Source organism: Homo sapiens, chromosome 10, assembly GCF_000001405.40.
Source record: "Homo sapiens chromosome 10, GRCh38.p14 Primary Assembly".
Taxonomy (NCBI): domain Eukaryota; kingdom Metazoa; phylum Chordata; class Mammalia; order Primates; family Hominidae; genus Homo; species Homo sapiens.
Window position 1 is genome coordinate 67,653,695 of NC_000010.11, and position 17,588 is coordinate 67,671,282.

Consider the following 17,588-nt stretch of genomic DNA (forward strand, 5'->3'; position numbering starts at 1 on the left):
ATGTCTAACATTATCTTATTTGGGATTATCACCCAAATAAATGGCCACTTTCTCTATAACCCTGGGCAAAAGCTTCCCCACCCCCTATCCTCATGCTTTGGAAGTGTCCATGGGGCCAAGATGATGCACCCACCCAGAGCCCACATCTATTCTATCCTATCCTACCCAGGGTAGCCAGTGTCTCAACTCCCTGCTCAACGAGTGCAAACCCACTTCCAGTGCCTATGTTGGCCTCTTCGTGGAATCCATCCTTCCAAGACTGAACCATTCAATGTGCCCAACCCTATACCTGAGAGGTAGCCAAAAGGCAGCTGTTTGCCAATGAGTGCAGATTGAGTTTGGGTGTACAGGCTGGGCTGTCAACTTGCAGGCACTCAAGGCCCCTCAAGTGCAAGACAGCCAGAAGTGGGAAGAGAAGAGAACAGGCCATGTGTCAGGGACACAGAGGTGAGCTCCACCTCCACCACCTCCTTCTAAAAGGAACCCAAGGATTCTAAAACCAATCTTGCCTTCTGGGTTATTTGAAGGTATATTTCTCAAAGTAGAAAGATTGGCGAGTAGAGCCTACTTTAGCAGCCTATTACATAGAATTGTAACTTATACACATAGGCATATGGTGTGCAGGCCTCCGTCTGTACCCTCACACTTCCCAATACAAACGTTAAAGATAGGCCTGCCCAGACTTTCTAGCACTCCATATCACCAAGTGGTCAGATTTGCTTCTTTCATTGTTTCCTCAATATGCCAAGATATATAATTGCCAAAGAGTTAAGGTGAAAAGTCATGTTATTCCACTTTTTTTTTTTTTTGGAGGCAGGGTCACTCTGTTGCCCAAGCTGGAGTGCCAGTGGCGTGATCACAGCTCACCACTGCAACCTCCACCTCCCAGGCCCAAGCAATCCTCCCACTCAGCCTCTCAAGTAGCTGGGACCACAGGCGCGCACCACCACACCTGGCTGTTATTCCACTTCTAAGAGAAGGTTTCTTAAAATTTTTAGAATGTGTCATCTGTTACTGTAATAGTTTTTTAAATCTGGACCAGTAAAGTTACTGAAGTATTAAGCTGTGTGACAATATCTCTTCTCTTACTTCTCTTTCCTCCATCCAAATGCTCTCTGTTATTATTCTTTCCTTAAGCTTCTGATTTCCATGCAAGAGTGTGCATTCACTATATGTGTATTTCTCTACCTCTTTTATTAAAATTATTTTGTGAACATTCAAAATTCCATTCATGAGTAAATAATTAAAGGTTAAATAGTCGAAAACACAGAAATAAAAAACATTCATGATTTATTAGTATATCTGTGATTATATTTAATTTGTGTTCTCCCAGGTAACTATTCTTATTTATTATCGACCTTCTCCCATGTTTTCTCCTGATAAGTACTATACATCATCTCTATTAACATGGTTCTTTCTATGCCCTGATTATTGTCATAACACTAACACATACACACAGGTGTGCACATTCATATATGTTTGATGGTTTTATCTGGAAATAAGTGTCTCTTCCTCAAGTTTAAACTATTCTGATCATGTCAACAAGTCTTCCACCAAAAGTATCTTTGGGCTTCATGGATTCACAGTGGATCTCATTTAGTGAAACTCTATTTAGTTAAATATAAAAGAGAAATATTTGTATTAATAGTAGGTGCCAATCCCCACCATCATCACAAATGTTAACCTTTGCCTAATACCTGTCTCCCAAAATATCAGAAGAAAGGATCAGCAACTAGTGAAAGACTGTCAAGTACTGAAATAATGTTATAAAAGAGTATTTTAAAAATTTTCATTAAGAATTTATCTTGAGGTCGCGTGCGGTGGCTCATGCCTGTAATCCCAGCACTTTGGGAGGCAGAGGCCAGCCTTCCACTACAATCTCCTGAGGTCAGGAGTTCAGGACCAGCCTGGCCAACATGGTGAAACCCCATCTCTACTAAAAATACAAAAATTAGACAGGCATGGTGGCATGTGCCTGTAATCCCAGCTACTCAGGAGGCTGAGACAGGAGAATTGCTGGAACCTAGGAGGCAGAGGCTGCAGTGAGCCAAGATTAGAAGATCGTGAAACAGAGCGAGACTCCGTCTCAAAAAAAAAAAAAAAAAAAATTTATCTTGAATGCATAACTGAACTTTATAAGCCTCGCTCTCCCCCATCACCATGCCTCAGAAAAATTAGTATAATATAGTCAGGAATAATGTGAAGGATTGAAACCAGATGTTAACTGAAAAAAAAAATCTAAATCATCACAAGAAGATTTAAGTAAAGGAAAAGGAGGCAAGGGAAGTTTGCCATACAATATTATCATAGCTGATTTTATACAATTGAGTCTTGGCTAGAGTGAAATAAAATGGAAAGAAGACAACTGTAATATAAAACTTCCACTACAATTTCTATACACACTGGTTTTCCAAGCCCCACCTCCATGTTTCCAGTGCAATAATTTGCTGGTATGTTTGGCCTACCAAGAAAGAAATACATACACCTTCTACTCTCTTGGTAAACAAAAGGATCTGAGGTTTGTCAGATCAATAAAATCAAGAAACTGCCTGATATCGTAAGTGATGAAGGAATAGTTGGGTCTCATTCTTTTCAAATGCTCTTCCTGGACTTTACAAATATTTTTGATGTGTTTACATAGAGGGCAATAATCTATATAAACTCTCCCACCTAGCTTTTTGGTAGGCTATAAGAGCAAAATGATGTGAGATCAGACGTATCCCTAGACTATAGGGCATCATTCATTTATTCATTCTTTCAACTTATATTTACTGACTATCTACTCTGTGCCAATCACGAGGAGAGTGTGACCATAAACAATAAAGATAATAAATAGTAAATGATTTCGTATATTAGAAAATAACATATGCCATTTTAAAAAAGAAAAAGCAGAATAGAGTAGGCAGGGCTGGGTGATAGGGAAGTTCAGAGCAGATTTCAGTATTAAATAAGGTCAAGACTAGCCTCATTGAGAAGGGGACATCTGAGCAAGACTCGAAGAGGCAAGAAAATTAGCCAAGCAGACAGCCGGGGGAAGAGCACTGCAGGCAGAAGTAACATCACAACAGAAGCCTAAGGCAGAAAAGCAGTGGCAGAACAGCAAGGAGGCCAGTGTAAGCAGGGCAGAGTGAGCTACAAAGAGCATAGTAAGAGAGAAAGTCAGAAAGGTATGGAGGCTGCAGATCATAAGAACTATTGCAGATGTTTGAGCACTAAAACATCAACTGTTTTATTTAGAGGAATCACTCTGGTGAATAGAACGAAGTACGAAGGGCAAAAGAAAAAATAGGGACAGCCATTGGGAGTTCCCATAGTAACCTAGATGAGATAAAATAATGGCTTAGAACTGGTTGGTGGTAGCAGAAGTGGACACAGGGTTCAGATTGTAGATATAGTTTGACAATTGAGACAACAGGAATTCATGAAAGATTAAACATAGGCTAGAGAGAACTCAAGATATCTTTAAGTTTTTCGATCTGGAGCAACTGGAAGGATAGAGTTGCCATTAACTGAGGTGGGAATGGCTGCAAGAGGAGCAGGAAGAAGAAGAGTCCAGCTGGGGACATGATAAATTTGAGGTGCATATTAACATCAAAGTGAAGATGTAAAGTAGGCAGTTAGATATACAAGAGCAGGGTTTGAAAGAGAAATCTGAAATGAAAATATAACTTTTGGAGTTGTCAGCATAAAGGTAGATACAATGAGACTACCAAGGAAGCATGTAGACTAGAAAGAGGTAGGTTGAAGTCCACTATTGCAAGTGAATGGAAATACAGGCAGTGATATTCAGAGTATGACTGTAGAATTGAGATTTGCCTTCAGGTGAATTAAAAAAATATGCCCCTTCTGGACAGATGGATTAGAAAACTGACCAGGCACGGTGGCTCACACCTGTAATTCCAGCACTTTGAGAGGCCAAGGCAGGTGGATCACCTGAGGTCAGGAGTTCGAGACCAGCCTGGCCAACATAGTGAAATCCTGTCTCTAATAAAAATTTAAAATATTAGCCGGGAATTGTGGTGGGCGCCTGTAATCCCAGCTACTCGGGAGGCTGAGGCAGGAGAATCACTTGAACCTGGGAGGCGGAGGTTGCAGTGAGCTGAGATCACGCCATTGCACTCCAGCCTGGGCAACAACAGTGAAATTCCATCTCAAAAAAAAAAAAAAAAAAAAAAGACAAGACAAGAAAAAAAAGAAAACTGTGCCACTCTCTGAGTAGACACAGCCCTGCAAGTGTTAGCAGAAAGGCCCACAGTTTGCCCAGCAGAGGGAGGGCTAGATTTCATCTCCACTCAGACCCTTAGCAGGGTAATATGCAGCAGCCCATGTGAGACATCCTTTCGCTTCACCCTGCAACCCCCACCGTCTGCTAAAGAGTTCTTAAATTCTCTTACCTCTCACCACTATTGGGCCTCAGTGATTATCAGCATCAGCTTTAAAGTTGGACTGCCTGGGTGAGAATCCAGGCTCTGTTCCCTGCTCGCTGGTGACTTTAGATAAATTACTGATCTTTCCTGAACATCAGTTTCCTAATCCATAAAATGAGAATAATAAGAGTACCTACCTCAAAAGGATCTTAAAGATTACCTAAGAAAATCTATATAAAATCCATTAACTTAGCCAATATCTCTGACACCTGGCAGGGGCTCAACAAACATTAGTTGATATCATTATCCCCTTTTAAGTGAAAGAACAGAATCTACTTGTCTACATTCAGATTAAACCTCTCCCTCATCTATAGACCTCATAATTATTATTCAAGAGTGCTTTCATTGATTGTTTTCATAACAAAAGACTTTAAAACAAAGCTTCCCTCCGGTGGCCTCATTTTATTGGATTTCTTGACTTCAAAATCAATAAGGCATATTTCCTACATGTGCACTAATTAGAAATGCAACATGCCTAAAGTACTGTCTTAAAAAAAACAAACAAACACATTCCTAATGCACAACAGCCTCCTAAAGGATCTTGAGCCCTTTGAAATCAATTCCAGAGTGGTACATAAAAGGTATGCCCCAGGGTTAGGGCTACAACTGTTAGATGCACTAAGTGTGGGGAACTCCAAGAGTCTGTACTTTTTATTTCCTTAGCATCCAAAATCTCTGAATTTCAACAGAACAAAACAATATTACATTTTAGAACAAAAGGTAAATATCATTAGCATGTTGTAATTCAAACTTTATAAGCTTGAGTATTTGAAGTTCTCTTTATTAAACCTTTAGATAGCCATCTTATTGATGTTTTTGAAAAATGATCAAATTGAGCCTCCCCCAAAAATGATGAGTTTTATGAATTCTTTATGAAAAGATTCAAACAAAATTAATTAAATTAAAAAATGTGTTTACTCTAGCCAGAGCAACCAAAATTAAACATGTTTCCTCACACATACAACCAAAATGAAAGCAGCAAAAAAGGTAAAAAAAAAAATTACTTTAACCAATATGAAATATGAAAACAAAGGAAAACAACAGATTCTACTTATATTTAGGTCTTACAATGTCCTTCTGATCATGAATAGCTGGTCAAATCTAATCTCCCTCTTAAAAAAAGCAAAAAGTCATAATTCAATTTCTGACTTACCTGAAAAGTAATATTGTACATGAGAATTCCACAAGATGACTTTATGACCCTGACAACATACCATTTAGTTATTTTATAACATGTCAGTTCATACTAAAAGCTCACCACAATGGCACACATTTTCAAAATTGCAGCTACAGAGAAAGAACAGAAATGCCCCATGGTCAGTTACTCTATGTAGCAATGCCTTCTACTTAAGGACATTTTGTACCATATAAAAAGTATGCCAAAATGGAGACCCATCTTATATAAGCCCAGCATGAAGGTTACCTACATATTTTTTAAAAGCCATAGAACTAAATTAGTCAAATTGAAGTCAAAGAAGAAGCTAATCTAATATATGAGACAACAGAAAAGCTTTCACTGAATCACCAGAACAAGAATAACCTTCAGCTACAAGGCATCAACTTTAAGCAACCACGGCAGAAGTAATGTGCCCTTCACATACACTTTGAAAGTGACAGAGGCTTCTGTTGCTGCAAGTCCAGTGAGCCTATGGGTCCATCCCATTCCATAATATTGTAAAACAGCTCAACTGTATATGAATTCTCGTAAGGTCTGATATTTTTAAAAAGCAGAGAACAAAAAGAGAATGGCAAAGGTAGTAGAATTCTCATCAACCTCAATGTGAAGCCAAAAAATTCCCATTTCTTCTTTGTTCTCTGTTCAGCTAGAAATAAATAAAAGCCTGCTTATCAGAATAAATAAAATGAAACCAAAGTCCTTGAAAAACACTATATTCATTTTTCTGTAAATCAATAAATACACTTAGGAAAACAAATAGTATGTAACTGGGGAATTTCAGCTTCTTCTGTGTCTCCTAGTTTTCCATTCTGTCATAATCCTTGAAGAGAATTTTAAAAAGTCTCTGCTAGAATCTTTAAATCTAACCATCCAAGTTCATTATTTATCAATATTTTCTTAAAGTTTCTCCAGGAACACTAGCTAAATACCTATTAACCCTACTTAACTGTTTCTTATTACACATGTTAAATATCCTCTCTATAGGAAATAGATGACTTTTCTCCCCTGGCTTCAAAACACCACCCTCCTGCTTCTCCCCAACAATTTAGAATTCAAGAAACAAATGGAAGCAAGCAACAAAACATTAGTAACATTAGAAGTATCCCATACACATGGACTGAGAACACATTTGGGGACATGGTGGGCAGACTAGCAATTTGCTGTGGAATTACACAGCAAAAAAAGAAAAGATGGAAAAGCCACAAACACTCATCTTCACTCATCTTTCATAGCAAGAGATTAATAGATACTATTTGAGGTTGAATGCAATTTCTCATTCATGGAAAAATATGTAAACTTAACCATGTAAAAAGCCTCCCAACCTCATTCATAATAAGAGAAATGCGAATTAAGTCCGGGCGCAGTGGCTCATGACTGTAATCCCAACACTTTGGGAGGCCGAGGCGGTGGATCATGAGGTCAGGAGATCGAGACCATCCTGGCTAACACAGTGAAACCCCATCTCTACTAAAAATACAAAATATTAGCCAGGCATGGTGGTGGGTGCCTGTAGTCCCAGCTATTCGAGAGGCTGAGACAGGAGAATGGCTTGAACCCGGGAGGCAGAGCTTGCAGTGAGCCAAGATCGCGCCACTGCACTCCAGCCTGGGCGACAGAGCAAGACTCCGTCTCAAAAAAAAAAAAAAAGAGAAATGCAAATTAAAATACATTGAGATATTCTTTCTCACCTTTCAGATTGGCAAATACCAAAATTTTTATAACAAACTGTTAGTAAGGCTGCAGAGAAACAAATACTCTTATACCTTGCTTGTGGATATTTAAAACATTATCCCTATGGAGGGCAAATATGCAATACATGTATATGTATATGTATGTATTTAAACTTTGACCCAGCAATTCAGTTTTTAGGACTCTACCACAAATATAAAAATAAAAAGTGATGTATTCCCAAGGCAATTAATTGCAGCAATTTTACTAAAACAAAAAAAAAAGAGAGAGAGAGAAAAGGAAGGAAGAAAGAGAAAAAGGAGGGAGGGAGGGAGGGAAGAAAGAAGGAAGGAAGGAAGGGAAGAAAGTCAGGAAGTTAGGCAGGGAGGAAGGGAGGCAGGGAGGGAATGTTGGCCCTTTCTTCACATCACATACAAAAACTTACTTGAAATGGATCACAGAGCTAAAGGTAGGACCTAAAGCTATTAAACTTCTAGAAGAAAACATAGGAAAAAAATCATTGTAACCTTGGCAAAGTCTTCTTAGATGCAACACCAAAAGCATGATCCATAAACGAAAAAGTTGATAAACTGGACTTCATGAAAATTCAAACTTCGTGAAAATACAAACCATAGACGGGGACAAAGTATTTTGAAAATCTACATATGACAAAGGTCTTGTATCCAGGAAATAAAAAGAACCCTTAGAACTCAATAATTAAATGAAAAACAACTCAACTCTTTAAATGGGCAAAAAAAAAATTGAAAAGACATCTTACCAAAGAAAATATATACATGGCAAATAAGCACATGAAAAATGTTCAACATCATTAGTCACTAGAGAAATGCAAATTAAAGCCAAAATATGTACTCCTCCACACATGCTAGAATGGCTAAAATTTGAAAGATTATAAATACTGGAGCTAGCAAAGATGAGAAACAACTGGAAATCTCACACATTGCTAGCAAAAACGTAAACTGGTACAGCCACTTTAGAGAAAAGCTTGGAAGTGTCTTATAAAGTTAAACATATACCCACTCTATAGCTCAGCAATTCCACTCCTTAGGTATTTAGCCAAGAGAAATAAACACTTATGTCCATATAGATACCTGTATGCAAACATTCATGGTGGCCTTACTCATAAGACAGTCATCCCCCCAATCCTTGGGGGATATGTTCCAAGACCCCCAGTGGATACTTGAAACCTGGGATAGTACCAAACCCTATATATACTATGCTTTTTCCTATTCAACACACATATAATAAAGTTTATAAATTAGGCACAGTAAGAGATTAACAACAATAACATAATAAAATAGAATGATTTTAGCAATATATTGCAATAAAAGTTATGTGAATGTGCTCACTCATTCTCTCTCGCAAAATATCTTATTTTGTGTCATATTTTTGAACCATGGGTAGCTGAAACTGCTAAAAGTGAAACCATGGATAAGAGGGGACTACTGTAGTCAGAAACTAGAAACAACTCAAATTTTCATCTACAAGTGAATGGATAAACAATCTGTGGCACAAGAATACCATCACATGTTATGCAAGAAGAAAGAATGAACCAAGTATACATGCAATGACATGAACGAATATCAAAAGCGTTTTGCTGAGTGAGAATCAGACATAAATAAGTACACACTATATGATTCCATTTATATAACATTTTTGAAAGGACAAAAATACAGGGACAAAAAACAGATTGGTAGTTGCCAGATGCCAACAGTTGATGTAATCAGTTGACTGCAGAAGGGCACAAAGAAACTTTTTAGCATGTTGGGGATATTCTATTTGATTGTGGCGGTGATGGTTCTATAACTGTATATGGTTGTCAGAACTCATCAAACTGTAAACTTTAAAGGAGTGAATTTAATATGGTATATATAAGTTATTTCTCGGTAAATTTGACTTTTAAAAACATCTTTTGTGTTCATCTCTTATCCCAGTGGCACAGAAATATTTCTACATTATTTCATTCACTATATAATTACAAGTTTCCACTGATATCCTTTGGCTCCAGGAGCTCTTCCTTAAGTTCTCTGAATTAATACTTTCAAAAGTTGATTCACTTTTTCGAAGTGTCTTGGCCCTTCTTGTACATCTGTCAATTTACAGTATTTGGTGCCTAAACCCTACCTAACTTCTTAATAGTATTCATTCCCAGGCTTCACACCTGTGTGTTCAGGTTATTCTCAATATCATCCTGTGCATCTGATCAGTTATGTGTTATATATTTGATTTATAATTTTTCTGGCAAGAACTCTAAGTCAACCTATCTATGTGTTTACAAAACTACAAAAACAAGAGCTTTCAGTATTTGTTTTTGTACTGCTTTAAAAAAAAATTTCTTTTTATTTTTCTTTGTGTGTGTGTGTGTGTGTTAAAGCTAGCTGAGGTTTTATTTTGGACCAAAAAAAAAAGCAATTGAATTGTTTTGTAGCTGGAGGCATGGGCAAGTGCGGTCCCCAGTCAGTAAACTCTCCCGTGGGTGGGCTGAGGGGCTAGGGCTGAGCCTCAGGTGGGTCTCCTCTTCCCTGTGCTCCTCTGCACAACGGCCTCCCTCCCAGGATCTGGGGCAGCCGCAGGAGGGGCAGGCTGGGAGGGGCTGCCGCAGCTGTTGACTTGGGCAGGACGTCAGAGGACTCGGACACCAGCTTCCCATCGCGGGTCTCGGTCTTCTTCACAACCACAGCCCTGGTGAATCATTTCTTATTGACCTTACTTTTAACAACGAATAAAAAAGAGCCAAATGACTGTCCCTGGCTCATCATGTTAATATCAGAAGACAACACTGAAAATCCTTCGCAAATTTTAACTACTACCCTCTTGTCTTTTTTCAATTCTGCTCTCTGACAGCAGCGAGTTTCTAAGCTAGTTCACTTAGACAAGCCCAGTTTAGTGAGTACAAGGCCCAGAGTCCAGAATCTTCAACATAGTAGGTGTCCTGCGAGTATGTGAAGATGAAAGTACATTATAAAGTCCTGTCTCTGGTTTCCTTCTTTCTACCCAACAACTTTTTTTACAAGTTAGATCAATCCAGTTAATTTTGACCTTACTGAAGTTGAAATTCAAGTTAAATTTACTGCTAGATTAAAAGTGTGAAAAGAAGGAAAGTAGCTAATCCCATTTACAACAATTTATTTTTTAAAATTGTAGGACTAGTATTCATACATTTATACAAAATTGCTAAATATATTTTATTTTAAACATTGTCTTGATCATGTCTGTTCTATTATGTAGATATTTTATCTTATTTAGATCACTCTGGTGTTTCCAAAAAACTAAGCTTCTTTAATCTCTCTTCTGAACTAACCAAATTTTTTTCTGAACATTTGGGGCCACATTTACTTTCACATAAGTTAGTGTGTGGGTTAAAAGGGCAGCATTTCTTCACTATTTTTCACCAAAACACGAGTGACATTTAAAGCATATTTAATATTTATAATCTAATATACTCTCCTCATTCCAGACTGCCACCAAGGTAAGAGAAGGCAACTGGTTTGTATGAAACTCCACCATAAGATTTCTGAAACCCTATATTTTCTCTCTCATCTATCCATAATACACCAGAGTTATCATTGAGAATTGCTGCATTTATTTTATTGTTTTTTTTCTTACTCCTGGCTCTGTTTTATATCCCACACTTGTTTTCTTTCTTCTTTCACTCCACATTTAATTTATCCTATCTTGAATTTCATGTAGCCTTATAAGTCACCTTAAATCCTTTCTAGAACAAGACAAGGAATAAATAAAGAGTCATTCTAGGTATCTGAAAAAGCAATCTTTTCTCATTTACCTTAGATAAAGCCTTACAACTTTAACTTCTTGCTGCCTCTTAGCTATGCTCTACCGTATTGAATACACAAGTATCAAAAATCATGAGTTTCTCCTTTTTTGCTTTACCAATTCTCTGTTTAAAAATATTTAAGTCTGCGCACAAAAACTACAGGGAAAAATCCATGCACAATTTAAGTTTAAAAGCCCATAACTTTTAATTAAAAGCAATTAAATTATTTGCACAAATAACCTACTCGCTGTACAATTTTTGTGTCTAAAGTATGTAAAGTTTCTAGTGCCTTGCATACAGTTACTCAATCATTATAGTAATAGCTCAGTTACAGAGTAGGAGTTTTTAAATGAGCTGATGTAAGACTACTATAGCTTGGGTATTGGCACATGAGAATCTGTTTTAGTGCTATTTTTAAAACCACTAATAAACAGCAGACTCGAGCCTCTGCTCAATTGAATCTGCCTGAGTTGTGAAAGAAAAAATGTGTAAGAGAACCACATTTTTATCTAAATCTGAAATGCCTGCTAATATACTCGGAAAAGTAGACATTTAAAATTGGAGCTTTCATAAAATAGTCTAGAGTTTAGTGTTACTAAAACGAAAATTAGTTATAAAAGTAAAAATTGCACAACATAATAGTTTCTATTCATCCCATTTTATAGAAATAATGTCCTTTCATTTCCCCCAAAGTTATCTAACCGAGCAACAGATAATCTATAATTACTAGGATTTGCCTTATAGCAAAGTTTGATTTTTAAAAGTTTGACACTCCACTCACCTACTGCAGGACAGAGTATTGCCCATATACAGATACTAAACCAATTGTCTAAGCAATTTCTTGTATTTAGAAATTCAGTGCCACTATCATGGCTCACAATTTGGCTTATGATGCATCTGTAAGCAAACAGCCTGACAAGCACCCTAGTGTATTTCAGGATGACTGACAGGACACAGTGGCCCAAGCAAGAAGGGGGGATGGGTGCTCTTAAAGCAACATGCCAGTGAAGGGTAACATCAAACAGCAGAATCAGACCTGAAATTCTATTTTTCAGATTTACAATGAAATAATAATACATTACCCACTATCAACTTCTAAATACAACTTGCATGGTCATTATGTACCCAAAACACTGTAAATCCCAAAGTAGAATTTTTGAGAATTTGTAAAAGTAGAAAGAAAAAATATAAAACAGGCATGTTATATGATACTTCCCTGAAGCGATCAAGCTTTCAGGTTACTTAAGAATATGCCTGTTATTTTTAACAGAAATTAAATCAGGCTATCCACAGAAAAGCCATTCTTTCTTTTCCTTATAATATCAACTTTTATTTTAGATTCAGGAAGTACTTGTACAGGTTTGTTATATGGGTATACTACATGATGCTGACATTTAGGGTATAATTGATCCCGTTACCCAGGTAGTGTCCAGTGGTGGGGTGAGAAAAGCAGTTCTTATCTCACCTTCATATATTTGTCAATAGCTCTTACAACAGTAATTTAGGAATAACTAATGAAGGTAATTTAAATATCTTGAATTAATCTGAATTGTTATTGAGGATAGGGGCCAGAGATTCACGTATTTTCCCCCTACTGCATTCCTTCCCTATGACCTACTTCATGATTAAAATATAGACCAAAAGATTCAGAAATTCTACTTATAGATATTTCTACATTAATTTCACTTTAGAAAACATTTTAGTAACATATTGGCTTCATTCTTCACATTTACAATTTTTTCCTATATTATTTCACAATACTCTGCACTGCTCAATCCTTTTATAATAGAGCAATCATCCATATTTTAAAAACAAACAAACAAAAAAGCCAAGTCACTCATTTTTAAACACAATTCCTCATTTAGCCAGCAGAGGGTATTATTAGATTCTGAAAGCCCACATATTGCACCCAATGACATGTATTTTTATACTTCAGCTAGGAACTGGGACACATCATCTCAACTTTCCTTAGTAAATGTGCTTAGAAATATCCCATTTTATTTTGCCCATATAAATTTGACTTTTAGAGCCCAGATTAATGCTTCTCATCTGTATCACACTACCATTATTTCCTCCTCTATCTGCTCCAACAGCTGCATCCTCTGAAAAAAAGCACTAGAAGACCAAGAAGTGGCAGAATTACCAAGAAGAAGCAGAATTGGGTTCAATCATCAGAAAGACTTCCCACAATCCTAAATTTTTCTGGGACAAACAAATGAACAACAATCTTACATAAAGATTCTAAGCTCCATTAGAAAATCGAAAACAAATCCTGAAGAAAACAGAACTAAATTACAGGATAAAATCTCTCTTCAAAATTATATGACATTTGTAACCTCTTTAACTCCCTGTTTAATATTTGCTAAATTTTCATTATATATTAGAAGCCACAGACTAATTTTAAAGATATACTTCCTGTTATTACAGCATTAATATATTTCTCATAAACATGCGGTATTATGACTAACAAAGTTCCCTTACAATTTATAGGTTCTTTATTTCACAACTTAACACTCACTTAGTGTGGAAAGACATGGACAGCAATTTGCCTGATTTATTCTAAAAATAAAAATTTTACTATCTAATTAGCTAAAATCATTAACTTCCACAAATTTATCTTGGCTGAAGATAAAAAATTTTCTGTTTCTTTGATGCAATTATATCACAAACATCAAGTTAACTAAGTTAACTATGGCAAAAGTGAAAAAGCAATTTCAAAGAGCAATCTCTTTTTCCTGCTCTCAGATTTGCCACTAATGGCACATCCTCTATGCTAAAGTACTAAATTTTCCAAAGAGAAAATAAATGTTAATTCTCTTCCTCAATTGTCATTCAAAATAAAAAATTATAGGTTATTTTCCTTTAAAGGGGAATTCTATTTCTAATAATAAAAACAAGCATTGGGTTCTTCATTGAAAGAAACTGCTCTATAAGATCGTCTCTCATACTCAAATGTGGCAGTTTCTTTCCTCATGTAATAACTAACAATAGCCAGGTAAATATCATATTTTACATTTGGAAATAAAATAGGATACCTCTTAATTATATTCTTTTATGAAATTTTATATCTTCAATTTTCTAAACAGATACATTCGCTGTAATATAAAATAGATACCTGGGCTTTTTTCTCAAATTAACTTATAGGATAACCCACTATTCAGAATAAAACTGAAAAGTCAGTTTTGCCAGTAATTTGCTTATCCTTTTTGCCAATCATCCACACATTTTGGAATATGTATATAAATAATTTTGTTATTGTTGTTGTTTCTAGTTACCCACTTAATTCTACTTTACTTTTCAGCTCTGAGTTTGGTACCTGACACAGGCTCTCCTGAACTATGTCTCACTCAATGGTTTTTGGTTTTCGCAGGTGCCTTAAGAACCTACATCTAAAGGCCTTATTAGCCTCAATTCTATTTGTAGATTAAAAAAAATTAAGGATAACGCTTAGGGGTAGGGAGAGATTGAATAAGCAGTGAATAGATACTACTTACTTAAAATACTCCTTTTTACTTTTAGCAAAAATGCCTCCATACACTATATGCTGTATCTGAATTTTCAATATATTTTATATAGGCAATAGTCCCCCCTTATAGACAAGGTATGTGTTCCAAGACCCATAGTGAATTCCTGAAACCACAGATAGTTCTGAACCCTATATATGTTTTTCCTATACCTGCAAACTATGATAAAGTTTAATTTATAAGTTAGGCAAGAAATTAACAATAATAATTATAAAATAGAGCAATTATAACAATATGCTTGCATCAGAACTCTTGCGCTTTGGGGCTAGGCCACGACAGTCCATTTGAAAATCTAGATGGCCTCTAGGAGTGACTAATGGGCAGGCAGCATATACAGCAGGACATGCTGGACAAAAAGATGATTCGTGTCCTGATTGAGACATAACAGGATAACACAAGATCTCATTGTGCTACTCAGAATGGCACACACTTAAAACTTGTGGATTGGTTATTTCTGGAATTTCCATTTCATATTTTCAGACCAGGGTTGACCTTGAGTATCTAAAACCACAGAAAATGCAACCACAGATAAGGGGCCTACTGTGTTTCTTTTTTTTTTTTTTTTTTTTTTTTGAGACGGAGTCTCACACTGTCACCCGGGCTGGAGTGCAATGGCGTGATCTCGGCTTACTGCAACCTCCGCCTCCCCGGTTCAAGTGAATCTCCTACCTCAGCCTCCCGAGCAGCTGGGATTACAGGCACTCGCCACCATGCCCGGCTAATTTTTTGTATTTTTAGTAGAGATGGGGTTTCACTATGTTGGCCAGGCTAGTCTCGAACTCCTGACCTTGTGATCTGCCCGCCTCGGCCTCCCAAAGGGCCTATTGTATTTCATTTATCTTCAAAACAACTTATTATTCCCCTAAATTACAGCAGTGGGCTCTTAGCAGGTAATATTCACACCAATTGACAGGTATAGTGCAAGCTCGGACTCTGACATAGGTTAGGTATGCTAAGTTTGAGGTGCAGTGGCATATGCAAATAGTTATGTCCCATGAGCAACTGGAAATGCAGAATCCATGAACTTTGGAGAAAAATTATGCCTAGAGATACAGATATAGTAACCTGTCCATCCATGTTACACTCTAATCCATAAGAGTAGATGAGCTCTCCCAAGATTAACTATAGAAGGAATGAGGCAGCCACATTACAAAACAAGTACAGTGAAGAATATGATGAGAAGAAATGTCATAATAAGAATAGTAAGAAATGCAAAACAAACTGGGTTCAAATTCAAACTCACTTTACCCTCTTTGGCCTCATCCACAATGACCCCAATTTACCCTGTTTTCCTGATGTGAAATGAGACCTATAAAACTTCTATGAAGAGTAATTACTTATAAAATTACACATAGAATATAATGGAATGCTAATTACCATGCCAAATAATTCATTTATCAATTATTGTTATTTTGTGGAAAGATACTTTTCTCTTTGTGAAATTCTGCTTTTCAAAACCAAAATGCCATTGAATTTTAGAGGGCTGCTGTGAAACACATCAAACAGATTGCCCCTTTGATTTTTAAATGGATAGAGAATGATTATGTCCACACAGCTTTATTTAGCAAATTGAATCCATGCCATCAATGGAAGTCTTCTACTCCATCCACGTTAATAATTTATAATTGGATAGCAAGAAAACCTGGTACTGAAATGGAAATATGTTTAGAGCTTCTTCCAAAGTTGCAACATGCTTAATAAATTAAAGGGACACTAACACATATTAATAAACTGAGTATTTTTTGGAAGAGTGGGTATAGAATGGTTAAAGATAGAATACCGAACTAAACACAAACAAATGACACTAAGAAAAAATAGAAACCTCTGTGTCTTGTTCCCACATAAGACTTGTGGAGTTGTGCCAACCTGCTTCATTCCAGAGCAGAGAGCCACTCAGTCACTGAGGCTATATTAGAAAGAGAGGAAGGAAATCCTTTTCTCCCACACTCTCTGTTTCCAAAGATAATAACAGAAAACTAGAGAGTGATGGATTTCACTACTAAGCAGCCATGTCTATTTTACTCATGTCTTTCATTGACTCTCTAAGTCTAGTTCTACTGATTTTGCATAATAGAACAAAAGAAATATATGTACAAAAACAAAATCAATTTTGCAAAACTTGTAATATCCCTAAATTTTCCAAAATATAACTGCTATAGTCACTAAATTAAAACTATAACATCATTCCTATTAGGTCATCAATTGTATTCAAAAGAATGAAGCTTATCACAGAGAAAGGTAAAATAATTAAATTCAGTCATAGAGCCAATGAATCACACTTCTTTTACTTCAAATGATAACCCTGCCAAATCAAACAGTCTGAGTAACCCACACACACACATCCCAAGCCAATCCACTTTTATCCCCCTGGGTCTTGGGTGCACAGAATTAGACTGACACAATCAATCATGGTCCTAACTGGTGGACTAGTCTATGAAAAGCCTGTTTTATTTTTTGTTTTCATAGTCTATATTCCCTGTTCTCAGTTCCATTCCCCTCTCTGCTTCTTATGGTAGTTAATGGGTACATTTCCAATTAAACTTCCGTAACTTTTTTTACATATGCTATATACGTCTACAAGAATATATAACTTTATGTGTATGGATGTTTAAATTTACACAAATAATATTGTATTTCCCATCTCTTTCTACTTCTATCTCTCTGTGTCTGTTTCATTGTGTGGTTTTGTTTTTTTGTTTGTTTGTTTGTTTTTTGGTCTATCTATGTTGGACTATAAAGATGTGGTAAACATTGCATGTTTGCTCACTCAGCACATAGTCCCAACCTTATTCTCCCTTATCTTTCTCTGCTATGGAGGCAGGACATTTGATTTCCCAGCCTTCTTTGCAACTCAGAATGGCATGTGAAAGAATTCTGGCCAATGAGACGGTAAAGCTTTTGCTTTCCCTATCAAAAGGACATCAGCATCCTTGCCATGTCTTCCTTAACCTGACTGTGGTAAGGTGCCTGGAAATAAAACAATCTTACTGCAAAGCTGA

At 36.5% G+C, this 17,588-nt stretch overlaps 1 protein-coding gene across 7 annotated transcripts in view, besides 1 other annotated feature; it reads right to left on the minus strand.

The window, feature by feature from the left end:
* CTNNA3 (catenin alpha 3) overlaps nucleotides 1-17,588 on the minus strand; it is a 1,851,072-nt gene that overhangs the window by 1,741,172 nt on the left and 92,312 nt on the right. For 3 of the 7 annotated variants that reach the window (NM_001127384.3, XM_017016151.2, NM_001291133.2), the window contains exon 1: nucleotides 11,847-11,966. The exons of the other annotated variants lie outside the window; for them this stretch is intronic. The gene's annotated coding sequence lies outside the window, so the exon portion shown is untranslated. Of the gene's footprint in view, nucleotides 1-11,846; nucleotides 11,967-17,588 lie in introns of those variants that run through there. 7 annotated transcript variants of the gene reach the window in all.
* Nucleotides 17,409-17,578: an enhancer, noted in NCBI's record as "experimental_15959 CRE fragment used in MPRA reporter constructs". NCBI's record gives its function as "activates a minimal promoter by MPRAs in K562 erythroleukemia cells, with activity observed for the introgressed 10:69430946 variant allele {active_cell/tissue: K562}" and the evidence as "EXISTENCE:reporter gene assay evidence [ECO:0000049][PMID:34662402]".